This window comes from Homo sapiens, chromosome 8, assembly GCF_000001405.40.
Source record: "Homo sapiens chromosome 8, GRCh38.p14 Primary Assembly".
NCBI lineage: Eukaryota > Metazoa > Chordata > Mammalia > Primates > Hominidae > Homo > Homo sapiens.
In genome coordinates this window covers 30,471,497-30,495,350 of record NC_000008.11, presented here as the reverse complement: position 1 = coordinate 30,495,350, position 23,854 = coordinate 30,471,497, and the positions used below count along the sequence as shown (strand labels likewise).

General features: G+C 38.6%; 1 protein-coding gene across 20 annotated transcripts in view, besides 1 other annotated feature; it reads right to left on the bottom strand.

Annotated features, from left to right (window-relative positions):
• Window positions 1-23,854, bottom strand: part of RBPMS (RNA binding protein, mRNA processing factor) — a 187,716-nt gene that overhangs the window by 76,906 nt on the left and 86,956 nt on the right. For 17 of the 20 annotated variants that reach the window (XR_007060693.1, NM_001008711.3, XM_017012981.3 and 14 more), the window contains exons 2-4: window positions 20,495-20,572; window positions 17,514-17,552; window positions 15,974-16,036 (exon numbers count right to left, since the gene is read on the bottom strand). The exons of the other annotated variants lie outside the window; for them this stretch is intronic. Coding sequence is in view for 16 of the 17 variants with exons in the window: in NM_001008711.3 (NP_001008711.1) it covers window positions 15,974-16,036; window positions 17,514-17,552; window positions 20,495-20,572 (180 nt within the window). In the remaining variant the exon portion in view is untranslated. The remainder of the gene's footprint in view (window positions 1-15,973; window positions 16,037-17,513; window positions 17,553-20,494; window positions 20,573-23,854) is intronic. 20 annotated transcript variants of the gene reach the window in all.
• Window positions 19,391-19,582: a silencer, noted in NCBI's record as "fragment chr8:30333285-30333476 (GRCh37/hg19 assembly coordinates)". NCBI's record gives its function as "represses an EF-1alpha promoter that drives an FKBP-Casp9 reporter gene in an ReSE screen in K562 erythroleukemia cells {active_cell/tissue: K562}" and the evidence as "EXISTENCE:reporter gene assay evidence [ECO:0000049][PMID:32094911]".

The window sequence follows — 23,854 nt, the reverse complement described above, 5'->3', positions numbered from 1 at the left end:
TGTTAGGTTACCACATATCTTGAAGTCAGTTTTGATTTTTAACCCCTTGAATTTAAAAAAAAAAAAAAAACCTTCATAATTGTTTCTAAACCAGATGTTCCATAAAACGCAATAAAATTTTATCCTCTTTTGAATGTTTTAGTAACAGACAGGAATATGTTTCCATGTCTAGTCTAGAATGTTTCCACAGGTTTATCTTTGATTTCAAGCCTGTGTAACTTCTCCTCTGATAATATCTGTAACAAGCTAAGTGTTATAAAAGAATAATATTGGCCATGATAGAGAAGCCTAATCTCATCCTCATTAACCAGAGGGATAAAAAGATTTTAATATTTCCTAGTGACTAGGCCACTTCTTAAAATACAATGTACATTTGGCTTCACTTTTATTCCTTTGAATAAACTGTGGCACTCAAACTCACACCCTCCCACCACTAAGCCAAATTCCTATGGTGAAAACAATACATTGTGTTTAAGGTATGTAGTAACTGCTCCAATAACAAAATGGGGAAAACCTCATGTCTGCCCCCGAACCTAGAAGGATTAGAAAAGCAACCAGGAGAAGAAGGTCTTGGTTAATCAATCCCCTTCTACAACTGGCAAAGGTATCGAGAAAACTAGGTGTCTAGGAGTACCATCAGCTAGAGTTAATTATAGTCACAATTATAAAAGAGACATCCCAACTCAGCATCACAATCAATTTTGTGGAACCTCCCCAGGAACAAGAGGCTTACACTGTGAGAATCGGGAGTGTGGATTTAAGAGTCTGACTTCCTAGATTCAAATACTACTCCAGTATTGACCTTGGATATACTGTTTAACCTTTCTGTGTCTCAGTCCTCTGCTGTAAACTGGGGATGAATATAGTCCATATTTCATAGCATTCATTGTAAAGATTAAATGAGATCTTGTAAATGGCCGGATTAATGCCTGACATCTGATAAACACTAATCCCTATGGCCCAGTGCTTATCAGCTATGGAGCTCCTCTTCCAAATATGAACCAATGGGGATTCTTCTCCTTTGGCTTTTTTGGAGAGGTTCTTCTATTACTTAGAAAGAGAAAGATGAGATTCATACTCTGCTCTGAGACTGCCCCAATTGGGAGAAAGCAGCAGGACACCTGAGCTGCTGTCCAGTCTGATGCTGTGTAGTTTCCTTTATTTCCTGTGTTTCCCCCACAGGGAGCTGACGTGTGTCCTGCTTCTCCTGCCCCATGTCTGTTGGTTCACACAGTCTGAGTAGATCTTAGAGGCCTGGCTGGTAATTGCAGAGACTGGATTCCCTTTGTAGGAGGAACCAGGCAGATATACTTCGAAGGTATCTGGAATCTCCATCTGACTTGACCATCCACCCCAGCCCAATTAATTTCTTTTCTACAACACACACTTACTTTTTGTGTTAGCCAACCACCCCTATGTATATAACCATGCCCTAGGAGAATCTGCTTTGTATAGGATGACTATAAAGTCATGACAGGGCCTTTGAAGAAGCGATAAACGCAATCTTTAACATGTCAAGAGAATCAGAGACAAGCAGAGTTTATTTTCCAAAGGGTCGAGAGGGCGTGATTGTTTGAACTTTTGCCACTATGTTCTCAAACCATTCTGAAAAGGATGATTGAAAGACCTGGGCCCTGACAATGATAGGAAAGGGCTGTTTCTAACCCAAACACAGTCAGTTACCCATTAAAGAAATATTTTACAGTGACACTTTGAAATAGATAATATTACATGGAAAGAAACATAGGCCAGAGTGCAGATGGTACTCTCTTACTCAGGAATCCTGATGCTCACATTTTTACACCGAGAACTCTGAAGGTGAACAGAAGGTAAAGCAGCAGGTCAACTGCTCTGGTAGGCATAAAAACATCCCTTAGAATCCTTAATGCACAAACACCAAACGTGGCTGGTGCTGCCAGTAGTCCCTTTCATTGCAGAGTCCTTACTGCCTTTTCCTCTCCTGTCTCACTGTAAGGATAATGAATAAACCCATTGGCATACATTCTTTCCCCTTTGCATCAATGTCTTTTTCTCCTGCTACCTGCTAAATGAAGGCACTCAAAATGAAAGCTTAAAGGAAGCAGATCCTAGGCAATAGCTCTCAATTCAGTTAAATTTTCAACTCTGATAGAGACCTTGGGGTGATTTGGGGAAAACCTATAAACAAATTTTTAATGGTCCATATTGGCTTAATGTTGGCCCAAGACATTCCAGTCTGATGTCGGTCACTGTCAAGTGACACCAAAGAAACTTCAGAATTTTAATGGCCAACTTCACTGACTTGGGAAATCAACAGTGGGTTTGCCTCAACAAAGCACGTCCTTGTATTTGACTAAAGCCTTATGGGTGTCACATCAAAAATTTCAGAAATGTGGCATAGAAACCATGCCCTGTCAATGTGAACATGTAAATGATTTCCCGATTATGTGATTCATCTCTGTAAAGCTCAGATCATAGGCTTAAATCAGTGAATTTGGCACCAAAAAGGAAAAAAAGAGTAAGAAAAAAAGAAAACAACAATAAAATGGACAAAAGAAATCACAACCTTATTCTTAAAGAAGCCAGTCTATATTACTGAAACAGGCCAGTCTAGAAAATACACACCCCTTTGGTTACATAGTGAATCCAGTGAAAAAGTAGGGGGGTTTATGTGCAAATTCATTATCAATAACAACTTTAAAAGTAGCTTGTATTTTTTTTTCCTAGTGATTGCAAATTGAGAGAATCACTTTCATTCATAAGGGCCACATATGTGCCCATACAGCTTCTGCCAAGTACAAAACCCAGGATTAAACTTGGAAGGGATGGGTTTTGAAATACTTACTAATTTCATATCCAATTAGCAGATGACGATCTAGATCCTTTAAAGATAAAAGGGGTATTTTTTTTTTAAGTCAAAGGGTTACTGGTGTTGACAAGCGTGGTGTCAGCTCTTTAAAGAAAGGACTAATTATACATAATTACACATTAATCTTCTAATTACTGAAAAGGAGATCAACCTACTTTTGCATCTAATACATATTATGCACTTATCAGGCAAAATGAGACAATGGATGCATGCATGTGTGAAAGTGCTTTATGCACTCAAAGATAAGTTGAATAATTAACACTGTGTAATATAAAAAGTCTCAGAGAATTATTTTAAAAAACAAGTGTGTCGGCTGGGCGCAGTGGCTCACACCTGTAATGTCAGCACTTTGGGAGGCCGGGGCAGGTGGATCACCTGAGGTCAGGAGTTCGAGACCAGCCTGACAACCATGGTGAAACCCTATCTCTAATAAAAATACAAAAATTAGCCAGACGTGGTGCTGCACGCCTGTAATCCCAGCTACTCAGGAGGCTGAGGCAGAAGAATTGCCTGAATCGTGGAGGCCGGAGATTGCAGTGAGCCGAGATTGTGCCATTGCACTCCAGCCTGGGCGACAAGAGCGAAACTCCATTGGGGGAGGGGTGGGGGTGTCTGTGTCTACATGGAAAAGCACATGAAGAATAAGTCCTACTTGTGAGGTAGGCAGGCTAAGAGAATGCATTTAACGAGCTCTTCTTTTAGCTTCACCTTAAGTGCTTGTTAGGTCATTTGAGGACCTATCTTAACTTTCTGTATATGTTTTAAGGATCGTTCTGCAAAGTTTACTTTGAGCTTTTATTAGTGGCTGGTGCAGAAGAAAAAAAGAGGTAGGAGGAGGAGAGAAAACAGTACTGACATAAACAAACTCTACAATTGAAAAAAAACAGTTGCCTAAACTTTCCAAAACCATTTTGAGAAGATTTCTATTTAAAGATCAGACATAGACCGCAATAGGCCTCCAAGTATATTTTCACAATCCTGTTTCTGCTCTCCAGTATTTTAGCAATCAGCCCCCCAGCCCCCAACAGGATCCAGTGAAACCTCCCACCCTGTGTGTGCCCAACCAAGTTTAGGTAATGTTAATGAAATGAAATACCAAGAGCAAGTAGAAAACGTGCATTTTCTTGTTTTCTTCCCCCTCCCCCAAAGATAATCACTATCTTGATCTAGCTACTAATTTTCAAACTGTACAACTTGACAACAAATTTTTAGAAAGAAAAAGCTGTAGTACATTTAAAAAATACAAATAATTTTATAAGTCAATGGTTTTATATCCTTTATTTCACTAAGGATAAAAATGAGCCATTTATACCAATACATTATTTACTGGTCCTCAACATCATTTACTAATACCATATACTAAATTAATCAATAGGGTTGGGGGAGATGTCACTGATGAATTTCATAAAAGTACAGAAATAAGCAAAGTGGGTAAATTTGCTCCTTAACCCTATTTTTTAAAACACCTCTAACACACACCATCAAATGGCTTGCAACCTCCTTCCAACCAAGAACTTGGGGCTTAAGGCACAAGTTAGTTGAAAAGAATGTAAACAGTCAAGTCCAAACTTAGGAAGTTCACTGCAAAGTACTTCCTGTGCTGCACAGGGAGCCAAAACAAAGTGAGGCAAAACCTATCTCGCCACTACACAACTGAAATCAGTGCTCTTCCTCTACTCTAATGAATCCTTGCAATTAGATTACTAGTGATCTAACCAAACTGAGGCTGAATTTCTCCCCTTCTGCAAAAAGGCTTATCTATAAACTCTAAGTCAGTTGGGAGGCCGAGGTGGGCGCATCACGAGGTCCAGGAGTTCAAGACCAGCCTGACCAACATGGTATGGTGAAACCCTGTCTCTACCAAATATACAAAAAATTAGCCGGGCGTGGAGGCACGCGCCTGTAATCCCAGCTACTCAGGAGGCTGAGGCAGGAGAATCACTTGAACCCCGGAGGCAGAGGTTGCAGTGAGCCAAGATTGCACCATTGCACTCCAGCCTGGGTGACAGAGCGAGACTCCGTCTCAAAAAAAAAAGACAACAATAACAAACAAAACCCCTCTAAGTCAGGAATCTCACTGGCTGCTAAAGAAACATTATAATCAATGGATGTTGGGTCTTCGAAACAGAGATTCAATTAGAATTTGAAATGGAGAAAGATGTGCACAATTAAGATAAAATAAAAGGGAGATGAGGATGTGTTTGTTCAGGTTACAATATTTTATAGGCTTGAGAATATTAAGGATAACATTGCAACTGTGTTTCCCTGATGAGCTCCAAGAAAGGAAGGATGAATAATTTTACCATTAACTATAAGTCAATGTTTAGAAATACTCTGAATCCACTGGAATTTGAGGTTCCACCAAAATTATTTTAAAAACCAGTATACAGAGGCTGGGCGTGGTGGCTCTCGCCTGTAATCCCAGCACTTTGGAAGGCCGAGGCGGGAGGATCACAAAATCAGGAGATCGAGACCATCCTGACTAACACAGTGAAATCCTGTCTCTACTAAAAAATACAAAAAAATTAGCCGGGCGTGGTGGCGGGTGCCTGTAGTCCCAGCTATTCGGGAGGCTGAGGCAGGAGAATGGTGTGAACCTGGGAGGCAGAGGTTGCAGTGAGCCAACATCGCGCCACTGCACTCCAGCCTGGGTAACACAGCGAGACTCCGTCTCAAAAACAAAACAAAACAAAACAAAAAACACCAGTATACAGAAAAAAAGAAAAAATAAAAACACCAGTGTACAGAAAAAAAGACTTTAGCCAGGCACGGTGGCTCACGCCTGTAATCCCTGCACTTTGGGAGGCCGAGGCGGGCAGAACACGAGGTCAGGAGTTCCAGACCAGCCTGACCAACGGGGTGAAACCCCATCTCTACTAAAAATTCAAAAATTCGCCGGGCGTGGCGGCGCGCGCCTGTAATCCCAGCTACTCAGGAGGCTGAGGCAGAAGAATACCTTGAACCTGGGAGGCAGAGGTTGCAGTGAGCCACTGCACTCCAGCCTGGGCGACAGAGCGAGACTGTCTCGAAAAAAAGAAAAGAAAAGAAAAAGAGACTTTAGGAATAAAAACCAGTCCTTTGTGAAGGTTGTCATTATCATTAATTAACAGCATTTTTACCATTACTGAATGCCAGTAGCTTTAAAAATACCCATCTCGGTCAGGCGCAATGGCTCACAGCTATAATCCTAACACTCTGCAAAGCTGAGGTGAGAGATCACTTGAGGCCAGGAGTTTGAGGCCAGCCTGGGCAATACAGAGAGACAACACTTCTACAAAACATAAAAAAATTAGCCAGGCCTGGTGGCATGTGTCTGTGGTCCCAGCTATTCGGGAGGCTGAGGTGGGAGGAGCACTCAAGGCCAGGATGTCGAGGCTGTAGTGAGTCATGATGGCACCACTGCACTCCAGCCTGGGCAACAGGACAAGACCCTGTCTTAACAACAAAAAATCAAAAACCAACAAAAACACCCACCATCTCATTTAATTTGATCCTCTTACCCTTTGAGGTGGCCACGATCAACAGCATAGGAAGGAAAATCAAGGCTTGAAGAAGAGCCCCCAAATCAGTAAAGTGGCAGGGCCTGGATATAATCAGGTCCGCTGGATTCGGACACCCACATGATTGGTTATCAAGAAGACATACTTCCATTGTTCTCTTCTTAGCCTCAATTAACAAATTTAGTACCTTTTTACAGGTACAAACTCACTAACACTTGATGTTATGCAGAAATACATAAAACTACCCTAACATCAAATACACAGTATGTTTTTAATGTCAGTGTATTAAAATTTTTTATTTTAAGAGTAGTTTCAAGTGTGTTTTCAGAATTTGGTAAACACCTCTACAGATAAATCAAGGGGACAGGGTGAAATTTTGTTAAAATCAACATTTTCCTGCTAGAGTTACCTAGGGTCATCCCTAAGCCTAAAAGCCTTTCCTCCATTCATTTTGTCACTCATTTATTGAGCATTCTAAGAGGTGTGAACAGCCAGATTCTGTTTCACACCTGGTTGTTTGCCTTTTCCACAGAGGTGTATCTATCACCTGTAATCTTAAATAACCTTTTCTGCCTTCTATTCAATGTTCTTTTATTTGGACATCATTACATCTGACTTCTAAGTGAATACCTAAATTCTGTGAGACATTATACAGAAATTACTTTGTGTGGATTGTATTTTTATTCTTATTTTTGAAAGTACACATACAAATAATGCTTTTATACTTTACCTGTTTTTGTTCCTTTGTTATAAAGTAACTTGATGTGAATTCCTTTTCCATCTAAACTTATTTTCATGTCCTGTGTTTACAAATTTAACTCTTTAAGTACTCTGTGTATTTATTCATTCATTTACATATGACTGATGTCTTGTGTAAGGCAAATAAAGGAGAAACCAGATTTAAAAATTCAAAATACAAGAGAACTGTTGGTCATAGGTTTATAGTAGAAAAGGAATTTTCTACCCAACTGCTTTTCTGGGGAAATTATTTTGAACTTTTAATTTAAAAACAATAATCCTAAAAATTAACTTGCCGCACAATGGCCAAGAAAAAAAAAATCTTATATATCCTTTTATGCAATGACCAGGTTACTCAAAGCATCACTTGGTTTTTCAAAATGTTATCTACTGAAACTTTACACTAGATTTTTAGAAAAGAAGTTTTAGTCTTAAAAATATACTTCACGGTGTATTTTTCTATAAATGTTAGCTTTAACAGATTTTATTATCTTTTAGATTCTAGATTAGTCTAATAATGTTCACTAAAATTTGGTTTCATTTATTCCTCCTAGTCTCATATTTATTATGTATTACATATATAATTTTTCACATTCTATAAACATTTACTCTTTCTTCTCCCTCACTTATTTTACATATAAAAAATTTTGACTATTTGTAATTTTCTCATTAAAATTTTTTAACACATCCATGTAATTATTAAATGTCTATAAAAAGCAAAAAAAGCCTGCATTTAATTATAAAGAAAATACCTCATATTGCATATACTTGAAAGAGTACAATAATTAACTAGTCTCTATCAAAACACCTTATTCAGTCTTTGAGATGGTTAAGTCCTACCCGACTCCCTAAGGTTTTAAAATGTTTTAATGCATTCCAGTTACAGAGTAAGACCAAGGGTTCTAGCTTTGTGGAGCAAAAGTTCAAATCCTTATGGACTATCAGAAGCATTAAGCCAGTGTGTGAAAGGGAACTCTGAAGACCCTAGTCACTGTGATGATGTGATCATTCACTAAAAGTAAAAGAGAACAAAGAAGACAGTGATTTAAGCTGCCAAAATGTGCTGCCCTGCAGAACCGTCAGTAATGTGGGTAGTCAAGACAGTCAAGACATTAAGATTAAGACTTCTTGGTTCTAAAACTGGCTTGGCATCTTAGCAGCCAAAACAAGATCTAGCAAAAAACTCACTCGGCACTTCATGTTCCACAAACACTAACTATATTTTCTATTTACATTTATAACAGAGGCAAATTAGATTCATAGCACTTTCTGAAATGTCTGAAAAACCATGGAGAAAGGGCAAGGTCAAATGAGGTATCATTTTTTAAATGGCATGAGTTTTAAAATTATGTAAGTTTAAACAAATAGATCCTCATAAAAGGCCATAAGGAAAATTCTGAGAGCTATTTCACACAGTCATGTAATTATCTGATGGAAATGTTTTACCTAGAGAAGAGCTGGGTGAAGTTGAGATTTCCACATATACTTGTCATTGGAATATACACTGGTTCATGTGTGAGAACGTGTGGTTCTTCCTCCCTAATTCTCCAGGGAAAGGATGCTACTAAAATTTCCGACTACTTTTCTTTCTTTAAACTTCCTTGAGATTCTTTTATTTTTTTATTTTTTTTTGAGAGAGAGTCTCACTCCATCGCCCAGGCTGGAGTGCAATGGCGTGATCGCAGCTCACTGCAAGCTCCATCTCCCGGGTTCAAGCGATTCTCCTGCCTCAGCCTCCCAAGTAGCTGGAATTACAGGCAGCCGCCACCATGCCCAGCTAATTTTTTTTTTTTTTTTGTACTTTTAGTAGAGACGGGGTTTCACCATGTTGGCCAGCCTGGTAAAAAGTAGGGGCACTGGATACAGACCTGGGCTGAACCCTGTTTTTTGTTTTTTTTTTATGTTATTTATTTATTTATTTATTTGAGATGGAGTCTCGCTCTGTCATCCAGGCTGGAATGCAGTGGTGCGATCTTGGCTCACTGCAACCTCCGCCTCCTAGGTTCAAGTGATTCTCGTGCCTCAGTCTCCTAAGGGAATTACAGGCTACCACCATGCCTGGCTAAATTTTGTATTTTCAGGAGAGACAGGGTTTCACCATGTTGGACCAGGCTGGTCTTGAACTCCTGACCTCAGGTGATCTGCCCACCTCAGCCTCCCAAAGTGCTGGGCTTACAGTCGTGAGCCACTGCTCCTGGCAAGGCGCTTTTATTAGTGTTTTATTTTCTAGTTTCCTATGTAAATGCTTCATAAATTCAAATAACCAACTTACTCTTCTTCAGGCAAAGACTGAAGACTACTTATAAATGCATCTTCATTTGTTTTTTCACAACAACTTTTAACTTACATGCTATTATAATCGTAGGGAGGTTTTATAACATCTAAAAACTGCAGGGCCACCATGAAGAGAACAGAGCCAGAACAAAGAAAATCTGGACAGATTCTAGAACTAAATAATCACACACTGGGCACTTGTTAACTAGTGCTTTCTTTCTGAATTGTACATGGGTTAGGAGTCACTTTTGGTGGTATGCCTTTCACGGTGAGTCAACTTCAATTTTCTTTGGGGGGAGTTCACTGGACACGGCTGTTTGTCAAGCTCCAAAGTGCATGCACATAGTTGAGAAAAACAGAAGGGCCCAATGGCCCCACATCACAGCGGCTTTATACTGGCACAAGCCTCGTTCCCAACCCTGTGACGTCAAATGGCTGCCTTAAAAGTCTGCAAGTCAAGAGTTAAGCAGTTATAAACAGATTTAACAGATAAACACTAGATCAGGCCCATGATCTCATCTGGCAATCCTGCATATTTCCCATCTAAAAGTCCCAGCTGGGATCTCACTAATTGGGCCTCTTTAACCCACTTTCAGCAATATGCTAAATGAAACTTAAGGAGAAAATTTCAAAACTGATAAGAAACATATTGATATAGTGTCTGGTGGGGGCCATGGGAGTTGAGATAGGCCATCTGGATGCTTATATTCGTAAAATGTTTTGTTTGGTGGAAATAATTCACCTAACTCACAAGCTGTACAAATATTAAGATCAAAAGTCCTAACTTGCACAGGCTGTCAGGAAAACCTGTGGTACAGGAAACAGAGACTGTCTAACCAAGCCAAAATGTTTCTATGTACCCAGTGCAGGTCTTGACTGCCCTGGTATCCCTCCATACTTAACGGTCTGTACCAGTACTTCTGGCCAAGAAAATACATTCATGATATAGGTTTACTTACAGAGCATTTGCAAATGCTTTTGCTTGTTTTCCCTTTACCATTTCGAAGTAAATAATACCTCCATCTCACAAATGAGAAACTTGGTATAGAACTAATGAATTAATTATATCTAATTGTAAAGAACCTTGGTAGTTGGAAAGCTCAAACTATTTAGTATAACAAATTATGTACAAGGCTGTAATCACTGTGATATTTATAAATAACTGTAGTGTTTATTTGAATGCCAGGAATTTATGGAAATGAAAATAGGGCTAAGTTTTCCTGATCATATCAGCTGTTTTTTCAACATCTGACACTATTAAGTCTTTTCTCAGCATATTTTCTTACAAATTAAAGCTTTCTAAAATTCTCTCTTAACTGCAAATACTATTGAATCAAAATTTTTCAATAGTCAAGAAATAATTTAATATCTTATATATTTTTAGTTTACATACAGTTTTTCCATTTATTGTTAAGGTTTCTTTGCAATGGAAGTCTGAGTGGCAGCCATTTTACCTCTTTTAAACAAAACTGCTTTTCAACTCTTTATTCTAAAATCTATTTAGACCTTGAGAAAATACCTTTCCTTCAAGTTCTGTCTTATTAAAAGAGTAATATGAGGGTTGAGTTTTTCCCCCTTCTGTTACTTATTGACAGGTAAAACAAACGCAGTTCCATTACTTAGAACTGTCACAGAAATGTTACTTGTCCCTGCTAAAAGAAACATTTTAAGTCATGTGAAATTCCTACAGAAATCAAATCTACTATTAAAATCAGTCAAACAGCATTTAGCAAGAATCCACGATTGCTTCGTATCTACTAGAATGGTTATAATTTTACAAACAGGAACAAGTTTTTAATGCAAAATGGTGCAACCACTATGGAAAAAATTACAAACCAAAGTAAACAAAAAGCTAACATATGATCACCACATGACCCAGAAATTCTACTCCTAGGTATACCCAAAGGAATTAACAGATTCAGATACTTACACATCAGTGTTCACTGCAGCCTTATTCGCAATAGCCAAAACATGGAAACAATCTAAGTGTCCACCAACAAATGAATGGATAAACAAAATGTACATATCCATATAATACAATTTTATTTAGCTATAAAAAGGAATTTGATTCTGGTAAATGCCACAGCGTGGATGAATCTCAAAAATGTTATGCTAAGAAAGAAGAGCCAGAAGCAAAAAGACAAATATTTCATTATTTAGAATAGGCAAATTCACGGAGAAAGCAAGCAGATTAGAGATTACCAGGGGCTGGGGAAAAGGGAGAATGGGGAGGTATTTACTGCATTAAGGGCTACAGAGTTTCTGCTTGGGTTGATGAAAAAGTTTGGAAATAGTGGTAATGATTGCATAACATGGTGAATGTAATTAATGCCAAGAAAGAGTACATTTAAAAGTCATTAAAATAGCAAAATTTTAAATGTATTTTACCGTAATTAAAAAAAATAATGTAATATACCAAAAGCCATTGAATTGAAAATTTTAAATGGGTGAATCATATGCAAATTACATCTCAAGAGCTATCTGGAAGAAAAACAACACTGAACTTGGAGGTTCACTGATAATTAGAGATCACTTAGATTAATGAGTATAGTTTGAGAGTAAAGCAAATTACTACACTAGCCTAAGCAATTTTGGTTGGGAAGGCAATTTGTAGTGATGTACAGACTTCTCTAGTTCTCGTGTAACATAATACAGTCTAAGATAAAACCTAGCCTAATAACAACTATCCAAAATCAGGGAAGGAAGGATAGCAAATGAATGGCACATATACTAAAGAGTCCAAAACTTTTTAAAGTAATGACCAATTTCCAAACACCAGTAAGACAAAACAATGCCATAACAGGTCATTACAGAGATCTCTAGGTTAGCAGAGATCATGCACAAGCCTGAATTGAAGGTTAACTACAAATCATTCTTATTTATAAAAACAAGATTCCTACTAGACAATAATGACAATTTGAGGTCCTCACAGTTGCTGGAAATAGCTAGATGGTTTACTCCCACATCTGCTGGGGATCTTTACCCTTCAACATGCGCTGCTTCCTGTGTCCCGTTTAAAAATTTCCACAAATCAGAATTTTTCCTAAATCTAGCTAACTGCCTATATTAGTGAATTTGATTTACTTTCCAAAATTATAAACAAGTCCTAAAAATAATTTGATACTTAAGATTTTCAGTGCCCCCTTCCTTTAGCTTGGAAATTCAAAACAGGTACAGAAATTACAAAGTGAGTTAAAGACAAAGAATAGGTCAGATATTTTGCTGTCAGGTTAAAGAAAGGAGGGGTTTTTAATGATGTGGATTAATGAGACCAAAGATAACCTGAAAAGAAGTCTGGGTTTGGGTTATTCTTTGCCTAACGTGGGACTTTTTGCTATAGAAACAAAACGTACTGTATTTAACTTTAGAAGGTTTAATTCCCTGATAAAAGTTCACTGTTACAACTTAATTCAATCTGAGCATGTTTTTCCACACAATTATCAAAATGGCTGAAGCCCAGTCCAAAAATGAGAAAATAGATTTTAAAAATTAGTCATTTTGAGAAAAGACTAATCACTAATACTAACAACTGAACCAGATAGCAATCAAGACAGAAACAACAAAAAGAGAAATTAAACATGGAGAAGTCGTTCATAACACTGAAGTATTATACACAGAGAAATTTACTGGATTCAGGCATATGTTTCTCAATAGTGGAATAAAACAAAACATTACAATATTGAATTCTCTCTCCAAAGGTAAGTAAGAAAATGTTAAGAGAACCCTGGACAGATGACATGGGAGGAGAAAATTCTGTAATGGCTACAAGCATCATATGTTTTTAACTCATCAATTAGAAAAGATGACCCTAAAAAGAGCCTAATATGTTGGATCACAAAGAATATACCTATTAGCTTCATGACTAAATACATTACCTTGAATGGGTCTGCTCCATGGTCACATACCAAACTTTATGGTGGCAATTTGTCCTGGACATTGTGAATTAAATACTCTGTAACTGCCACAAGGAAAAATGCAGCAACATCCCATGTACAAAGCAAGCAAAAGGATGTTGTATAAAATGGACAAGGCTTAGATGCAAGAAGTTTACTTTTAGTTGCCTCCTAGTTGGAGCTCTAAACTTACACATGCTGACTTAATCACCCATCCTCTCCACGTCTGTTTCCCTAACTACAACATCGGAAAGATTTCTAATACCTCTACTACTTTACATAGAAAAGTTCAAAACGTCAAGAAAGAGATCAGCCAGGAGCTCAGTAAATGTCCTACACTCTTATGTAAGTCAGCTTTGGGCAGCAGAAAGCCCAGGCTCATTATTCCATAGGTAAATACGAATTTTCCCTCAGGCCCACAAAACAGGACAGAATTAGACCTGTTTTATTTGGGGTCCTTCCCAAGTTATTAACACATAAGTAGCAAACTATTAATGATTAAAGGAGAGGACAGTGCTAAAGAAAGGCGTACTGCCAGTGAAAAAAAAAAAGAATGGAGAGCCTAGTGCAAGAAGAATAACCTAAAACCAGACCTCAAGACCAGACAACAGTGATCTGCGGCCAGCTGGCACAGGGGCAAACAGGGTTAAACACCTCTATCATTATATTACACTAGGTTCATTACCTGCTATTTGTAATGATAACCTTTGGGCACCAAGAAAAATTGAAATTATGTTCGCTGTACTCAGTATGATGAGGAAACACAGTTTTTTTTGACTATTATCATTTAAACATTAAAACAAAAACAAAAACAAACAAGCAAAAAACTTCAGGCTGGGTGTGGTGGCTCACGCTTGTAATCTCAACACTCTGGAAGGCCAAGGAGGGAGAATCACTTGAGTCCAGGAGCTGGAGACCAACCAGCCTGGGCAATACAGCAACACCATGTCTTTATTCTTTAACAAACAAACAAAACCCTTCAGTTATCTTTAAAAAACAAAAATGCAACCTACCACACCTAAGGGAATGTTGCCTTGTCAGATGACAGGTCACTATAAAAGCCTATTGTTCAGAAAATGAGTCAGTGACATCTTTATACACATAGGAGAAGTATAGTAAAGCAATGAGAGCCAAGTCTGTGAAGCTTCAACTGCTTGTTACTTCCTTTGTAAGAACAATGAAAAGAACATGGTGAAAACTTCATCTAACATAACTTTAAAGGACCCAGAATATTTCTGCATTTAGAAGGTTCCCACCTGGTTAAAATAAAACACTGCTAAATTGAAATTGTGGTTCTACTTTTAAGTTTAAAGTGTCATTATACTGAGAAAATTCTGGTTTTTACGTATTCAATGCAAAAATCATAAAACAACTTTTATATCAAAACATTCAATTATACACCGTGCTTCGGTGTATACCACTGGTGCTCAATAAATAATTGGTTTATACTTTGTTATACAGGAGAGGAACAGAGTGAGTAGGCAGTTATTCTGACAAGAAGGTCATTTATCCAAATCCAGAAAAAGTCTGGACTCTGGAATTCCTGGAATCCTAAGATGTTCCTATATGCTTTATATGAAAAACCAACAAGAATTAAGGTGTTTCTTCTCAGAGTGTACACATTTTTGTTCCAAAGTCTAAAAACCTTTTAAGGTTGTGTATCAATGACACCATTATATGAAGTATAAAGACTTTTCCTTAGACCTCTAAGTCATCACCTATATCAGGTCTCTCCAACAGCACTCTGCATGGTCTACTCAAAGGAGCAGCTGCCAGGGGTACCTGCAGGTACCACAGCAACACAAAGGCCAGACGCAAGTTCCCAGACGCCTCCAAAATGGTACCTGTATTACAACCAGTCAAGTGGCCGCTTGCCTTGTAGGAAGCACCCTAAACACTCTGAGTGCTTCAGTCAGCACTTGTTCACAGCCACTTAGGCCAACTGCCTAGAGCATGATGGAGCCAGCCTTCGCTGAGACTCCTCACCTGAGGATTCATCCTCAGCATCTGAAACCACATTCTGCTTCCTTCCACCTTCTCTAACTTAGTTCCCTTAAATTGTTTAGTTTTTCAACATACTAAGGAGGAAAAATATTCACCAAAACAATACTGGTAAAAGTCTCAAAACACATGGCAAACAACATAACTACAAACCAAATACAGATATATCTACTCAATTACAAATGACTGTAATTTATTCTATTACAACACACGTCTTTTGGGAAAGCCTTATATGTAAATTTTTAATCAACCAGAATAAAGGCTATAACCAGTTTTTTTTTTTTAATGCTGCATATCTAAAAGGAAAGCCTCATGAAATAAAAAAAGCCAGGATTTCAATCTATTCTGAGCATAGTCATTTAGAGTATAATGATGAGCAAGCTAACGCCTCAAATATCTCCTCTGGAAAAAACAAAGCAGCACTACGCACCACCATTGGATGGGATGGGGCTAGATTAAAATAAGACCCACATCATCAGATGTCAGATATTTTGAGCATTTCATTCAGAGCAATCAAAAAGCAGAGTGCTATTTAATAATCTGCATATCTGATCACAATTCTTGGAAAAAGCTCTTTAGAGTGCTAATTAAATTGATGAATCCCTCCCTCTTAGACTGTGCAGTCATATTCTTTCCACTTGATTTCCCGTCCAAAGAGATTCCATTACTTCCCACCACCTCATATGGAAACCCCCTACAATTACATCATTAGTACTTACATTCAAAGCATTCTTTGCAGCCTCTGCTTCTGAGCGACTGTCAAAACTGACAAAACCTACAGGCTGAGAAAAAAAAAGAGAAATATGAAGAAAAAAAATCAGATGATGTCTACTTTTCTAGGTCAAGGGTGACATCAAACTGAAGAGCTAAGATAAAGAAATGACCACAGGCAATGGGCAGAAATAAGAAAGCGAAGTCCCGAAGAATCATGACTCAGTGGCTTAGCCAAATTTCTAATATGAATCAAAGGGATGGTGAGGGTAGTTCTTCAAGAGCACAGCTGGGGATTTAGAGAATCATAAAAAAATCTAGAAGTGGTTGAAAGGTGAACAGCAGTGAACAAGGGAATAGAGGAAAACTTGGGTTGGAGAGGCTCTACTTTCCTAAATCAAATTCACTGTACCTCAGTTTCTTCATCTTTTAAAATGGAAAGAGAACCGAATCACCTTTTGGTACACTGTAAGTGCAAGAATACAATGACACAATGATAAAACCCCTGGACTCTCACTGCATGACCAAAATTACAAAGTGAACATTCCTATCTCAAATCCTAAGGGATGCCTTAAAAAATCCTGTGCTGGCTGGGCAGGGTGGCTCACGCCTGTAATCCCAGTACTTTGGGAGGCCAAGGTGGGCGGATCACGAGGTCAAGAGATCAAGACCATCCTGGCCAACATGGTGAAACCCTGTCTCTACTACAAATACAAAAACTAGCTGGGCGTGGTGGCATGCGCCTGTAGTCCCAGCTATTTGGGAGGCTGAGGCAGGAGAATCACTTGAACCTGGGAGGCGGAGGTTGCAGTGAGCCGAGATCGCGCCACTGCACTCCAGCCTGGCAACATAGTGAGACTCCGTCTCAAAAAAAAAAAAAAAAATCATATTCTTAATTAGGCTGTTCTGAGTAAATACAGAAAGGCCATAATCCCTTTGGACTCCCTATCTTTCAGTACAGAAGGGTGCCTCCAAGATCATTCTTCTCATGAGCCAGAGAGATGAATAGTGATTCGAGAGGTGTGTATGCCAAGTGTTTAGCTTAAAAAAAAAAGTATATAGCTACAATCTCTAAGCTTGTAGGAACTATTAGAATCACTGACTACCACTTCCATTTTGTACGTTCTCTGTTCCATTCTGGACTCGGGACTCTGCCTTAATTTAGGGGTTTGACAGACAGCATGATCCTTCACGATCTGATATTCACATTGATTGTAAAAGTTTGTTTAACCTCATTAAAAGAAATGGGAAAGACTTGGGAATAAAAGTGAATTTAAATAATAAACCACTATTTTCATTGAACATACAAAATCAATCTCAATGTATCACTGTGTTTATCTTCCTCTGGGACAGTCCCTGAAATTCCAGCTGAAGATTATAGAATTATGAAGTATTTTCCTGTGCTAATTCCTAATACATCTCACTTTTAATTTTAAAGACAAAAAACCCCTCAAATTCTAATGGGAATAAAAAAAGAATGTCAAGCCCCAGCAATATTCCTGAGGAAAGTAAAAAAGTGATCTTTATATGCCACTTTGAAATTCTTACCTGTTTAGATGTGAGCTTTATAAGAGAACCCTCATAGCCCTGAAAATAAAGAAAAACCAAGTTTAGCCAAAAGTAACTGTAGTAATACCATCTTGTTCATGTAAAAATAAGTTCTTTATTGATTACCTAACTCCTCCTACAAATGTCTCCTAAGTTATCTGGGAAAGCAAATTACACACATGCATGTGCATGTGCACACACACACACACACCTGTTTGCATTCTTGGGGCCTTTAAAAAAAATCAATCTATGGATTTATCTGTGTTTCTCTTCCTTCTATTTTTTTTTCATGAAATTACACAATGGTAGAAAAATGAGTGTCTCTGTTAATAGCAATCTTTTTGTTTTCTTGGTCTAGATAAGAATAGGAGTTTTACAGAAATAGGCAAGGAAAGAGGGTAAATTTAATACAACAGGAAGGTCAGAGCCATGTATTGGTCATGTAGCTGCTATAAAATAACAACAATAAAACATTAAGAATATAGTTGGGGCTGGGTGCGGTGACTCACGCCTGTAATCCCAGCACTTTGGGAGGCCAAGGCGGGCGGATCATGAGGTCTGGAGATCGAGACCATCGACAAGTGGTGAAACCCCATCTCTACTAAAAATACAAAAAAATTAGCCGAGCATGGTGGTGGGTGCCTGTAGTCCCAGCTACTTGGGAGGCTGAGGCAGGAGAATGGTATGAACCCGGGAGGCAGAGCTTGCAGTGAGCCGATGGCGTCACTACACTCCAGCCTGGGAGACACAGCCAGACTCCGTCTCAAAAAAATATAGTTGGTAAAACTCCCTGACCACATTTTCAAAACTGCCAGAAATGGTTAAGCAGGCAATGATGTTGAATTTTGTTGAGTTACTTTGCTAACTTACTGAAGGAACCAGTTTTCATGTTGCTCTTCTGATGGGGACATGCAAAAATAATCCCTTCAGGTTTTTATTCCAGCTCATGCTCAAGGAAGACAGAAACACTCCCTCCCTCTTTCACTCCCTCTCTTCACCCCTCCCGGCTCCTCAAGATAAGGATAACAAAATGTGTTTATTTCTGAAAATAATCAATAGCTGGTGGCTTGCATTAACGGACGACACAGGGGAAAAACACACCACTTGACGTGATTGACCACTACACACATCAGCGCAGAGACAGATTTGCAGACTAGGGTCAGCCTCCAGGGACTTTAATTAAAAGAGGGTTGTCAGGAATGTACTAGGGTGCTGACTTTCTAGTCGGGGTTTCTGGGCAGGATGTTGAGATTGATTCATCCTTACATCTTCCCAGCAGAGAACTATGTTACCAATTAGCTACTATAAACATTTCACCTCAAAGGCCTTGAGCTCTTATGGCCAGAGAGGTCATGATTCACAGCTCTGCCTCTTCCTTTCTTCAAGGTGCTCTCTTCTGAAAAAACTAGAGGTTTAAACACCATGAAGGTCTTGAAGGCAAAGGACAACTGGATATTTCACTCAAGTAAAACACCACTGGTAGGGATATACTGTGTTCTCAAGTCACAAACAGAAAAGCAGTATAACATAATAGTTCAGAACAGAGAGGGCAGAGTCAGACTGCTTGGTTTGAATCTTGGCTCTGCCAATTTTTATGTGTGTAAACTTGAGCACAATTTATTCAGCTCCAAGTTTCATTTTCCTCATTTGAAAAAATGAGACTCACCCACTTGAAAGGATTGTGACAATACTTTAATAATTCATATAAAGGGCTTGCTGGTGAATGTCTTTCTCTCTATACACCCCAAAACATAACAGTATTTTATACACTAAGAAGATCAATTTGCGTTAAAAGTTTGCATTCTATAAAAAGGATAGAAAAATGGTCCTTTTTATAAAAGTACAACCCGGCAGAAGAAACTCAGGAAATTCTATAAAAGGTGGCACTCTCTCCATACCACCTTCTCTTCCTTTCCCACTTCCTCCCACCTGACCTGGCACCTGACCTCTGTTTCCCTGTGCCATCATCATTATTGTTGCATTAAAGCGATGGCTGTCAGGTGGACTTATGTCCCTTATGACATGGTGCCCTCTTGGCACATAAGCTAGACTGTTTTATCTTTGTTGGTTCTAACTGGCTGCCCCTGCATCCCTCCTTCCTCCTCCCCAACACTAGAGTTTTTAGTTGTCATATCCAATTCCGTCTTCCTAAGAAGCTGAATCCTATCCCTCAACCTGTCATGCCTCTATCACTGGGGACCTGCTTCAGTGAGAATGATCTTTAACCAGAAATCAAGACAGCCCATCACCTAATCATAAGTGTGGTCTCTGCCAGGCACTGCTGCTAACACATCCACACTGACCAACTTAAGACTTCCTGAGCACAGGCCCTTCCAGAGAAGGAACATATCCCTTCCAGGGCCCCGATTCGATCAGCTCCAGCTTTCTCCTATCCTCCAAAGGCCAACCTTCAAAAGGTTTCTTCTTGGCAGCAAGGCTATTTTGGCTTAGTTTCTACGAAGTGCTTGGTGTTTAATTTCCTATGAAGTTTTCAATCCTAGCAACATTAAGTATCTATCAAGTGATCTTATTTCCATAGGAAGGACAGGTAACTGCATTAAATATTTCAATAAACACCAGGAAATATTACCATCAACTTACACCTAGGTATCCTTTAAAATTTTGTTTTACTTTGTTTGAAAGTTTTGCCATGGAAAAAATAACGGTGGTTAGGTTCTTAACTCAGTTCATAAAAACCTATTTACATTTCCAAAGAACAGTATCAACAGTACTATTTCAAATAATAAGGTATGAAACTAGAAATAAATCTTCACTTACATTACTGCATTTGAAATATAAATATGTAATTATCCTAAGTGAGACTGTACATTAGAACTCAGTTGTTAAATCTCCTTTACTCATTAACCTTTTAAAAACATCTGTTTTCTTCTCAAATATTTCATTTCTTGCTTCAAAAAGCTCCCAGAAAGCATACAGACTTTTGTCTCATTTTATAATTTCTGAAAGATAAAAAAAGGTACCTTAAATGGTCTGAAAAGCAGATAGAGCTCCCGAGGTTTGATATCCAGAGGAAGGCCACTGACAAATAGGGTCCGGACCTGGAAAAATAAATTTAGGAAGTGATCAAGGGTGTGGACACTCCAGAGAGTTAACTCTCACCTGATATCTCAGAAACATATTATTCCAAATATTCCACAACTCATACTAAATTCATGCTCTTTCCATGATACAACGAATACTTCACTGTTAAGATGCCACTAAGCCAACACTTTTTTTTCCTTTTTAAATTTTAGGGGAGATGCAGCCTTCTGTGTAATCTTAAGGTACATCCCCTAAGCCAACACTTGAATATTTCTATGTGAATTATTCAGAGTGAATTACATCTAGTTGATTTAAATTTACAAGCTAACTTTTCCCAACTAGCCATTGCACACTTCTAAAAATGTGAAGGATGGGGGGAGGTTCCATATAATTTAAATATTAGCTTAAGAAAAAAATGACATGAGCACAGTAAATCTGCCACTCCTCTGCCCTAAATATATCGCCTATATAATGTGCTTCAAAAATAATATAAAAACAATTTGTTTCCTCCTGCTTGTTTTGTTGCTGCTTTCCTCATAGGCATTAATTACAATAACTTTAATAAATGTAAAAGTAAAGTTAAGCCCAATGCACCTAAATAGTAACCAAAATGCATTAACTCTTCATCTGTTCGGTTCCAAAACAGCAGGGCCAACCTCACTGACTATTGTTCCCATTGCATTTTTGTTGTTGTTGTTGTTTTTTAAATTTTAAGTACTGGGGTACATGTGCAGGATGTACAGGTTACAAAGGTAAACACATACCATGGTGGTTTGCTGCACAGATCAACCTATCACCTGGGTATTAAGCCCAGCAACCATTAGCTATTCTTCCTGATGCTCTTCCTCCCCTCAAGCCCCCGACAAGCCCAATGTGTGTTATTCCCCATCATGTGTCCCTGTGCCCTCATCCTTCAGCTCCCACTTGTGAGAACATGTGGTGTCTGGTTTTCTGTTCCTGTGTTAGTTTGCTGAGGATGACTTATAGTTCCACCCATGTCCCTGCAAAGGACATGACCTTGTTCCTTTTTGTGGCTGCATAGTATTCCATGGTGTATATGTACCACATTTTCTTTATTTAGTCTATCATTGATGGACATTTGGGTTGATTCCATGATTTTGCTATTGTGAATAGTGCTGCAATGAACATACACGTGCATGTATCTTCCTAACAGAATGACGTATATTCCTTTGGGTATATATCCAGTAATGGGATTGCTGGGTCAAATGGTAGTTCTGCTTCTAGATCTTTGAGGAATCGCCATACTGTCTTCCACCCACTGTGTTTAAGGCACAATCAACACATAGGCCACCATGTACAAGGTACCTGGCTACGGTGCCACTAATAAAAGTCATTCAAGACACATATGTAAATACATATAGTGCAAAGTGTAGGGTACACACTATGTGCTTAGTGTCTACTAAAACACAGAACACAGGGGAAACACCAGAGAAAGCATCTGAGTAAGAATCGAAAGGATGGGCATTTACCAAATAGAGCCAAAAGATGAGGTGGGATCCCTAAGAATCACAGGCAGAGAAAAGGATTCACCAAGGCAGTGAAGTAGGAGAAGAAGAAAACATTCTTGGGGAAGGGCAAGCCAAAACTAAACAAGAAGCTTAGGGTCAAACACACAAAACATCAAAAGCCACTGGCTCAGGAATTTGATCTTGATTCAATAGGCAAGGAGTAGCTACTGAATTATCATCATATTTTCTATTTGTTTTTCTCTACTCAAACACAGATGCAACATGATTGAAAATTCGATGCTCAATTGTTCAATTGTTAACCATGAATATATACATGAAAGATTTTTCCTCAGTGAAAGATGGGGAGAATATTAGACAGACAGACAGTCTGCTACCATGTCTGGCTAATTTTTTGTAAAGATGGGGTTTCACCATGTTGCCCAGGCTGATCTCAAACTCCTGAGCTCAAGAGATCCTCCCATCTCGGCCTCCCACAGTGCTGGGATTACAGGCATGAGCCACCTCGCCTGGCTTTTTCTAGATTCCTAACACTTTTCACTGTTTCCTGTTACACAGAAGTGCGAATCACCAAGCAAGGCCCTTTTATTGACCCAGCACAGTACACAGTAAAATGTCATGCCATTTGCATGTAAGTATGTTTGATAAACACTATAATGATGTAAATAGCCCCAGAATTCTGAATGCCTTATTTTATGATATATTTATAAACAGCTTTATTGAGGTTATGATTGATATATAATAAACTACACATCTTGAAATATGTGATGTTTTGACATATGTATAACCTAAGAAACATCACAACCAAGACAATCTATCACCACCATCACAACCAAGACAATCTATCACCACCAAAAGTTTATTCATGCCCCTTTAATCCTTCCTCCCACTCTGTCCCACCATTCTCCATCCCCAGGCAATCACTGCTCTGATCTCTTTATATTAGTATATATGTCTCAAACACTTACATATACAGAGGGAACCACAGAGTATGTACCCTTTTCATCTGGCTTCTTTCCCTTAGCATGAAGTGAAATTTACTTTGAGATTCATCTATGTTGTTGAATGTATCAACAGTCTATTCCTTTTTATTACTGAGAAGTATTCTGTAGTGTGGATACACCACAGTTTATCCATTCACATGTTGACATTTAGGTTATTCTAGTTTTGGCTATTACAAATAAAATGGCTATGAACATTCATGTACAAATCTTTGTATGGATGTATACTTTCTTTCTTTTTGGATAAACACCTAGAAGTGGAATGCCTATATATGAAAGGTATATGCTTTTTTTAATGCCCATCAATTCCTTGTCTTATGTTTCAGAACATGGTAAATGTTCTGTGTGCACTTAAAACAAATGTGTATTCTGCTGGGGCTGGGTGGAATGATCTATAAGTATCAATTACATCAAGTTTGTTGTTCAAGTGTTCTGTATCTTTTGCATCCTCATTTCCACTACCCCCAACTTTGCCACCAGATAAACAAGTTCCTGGTGGTCTTTATGAAGTTCGCTGAGGCAGAATTGCTGACAAGTGTCAAAGATACAAACAGTGAGGAAATCCTGCTAATCCAGTGTGCCCTCCCTGTCACCCGCAACTCTCCTCCCATAGTCCAGAAAGTGAACACCATCTATTCCACTTGGCTGTTCTGGTCAGGACAACCTGGGCAGAGCGAGAATACCATCTTCCATTTATTCAGATTTTGGGAAGTGCCTGTTTTCTCTCTGACACTGTGCCAGGTTCTAACTGGATTACAGAGATTTCCACAAAAATGATACGATAAGCAGAACTTACGTTCTAAGTGTCATG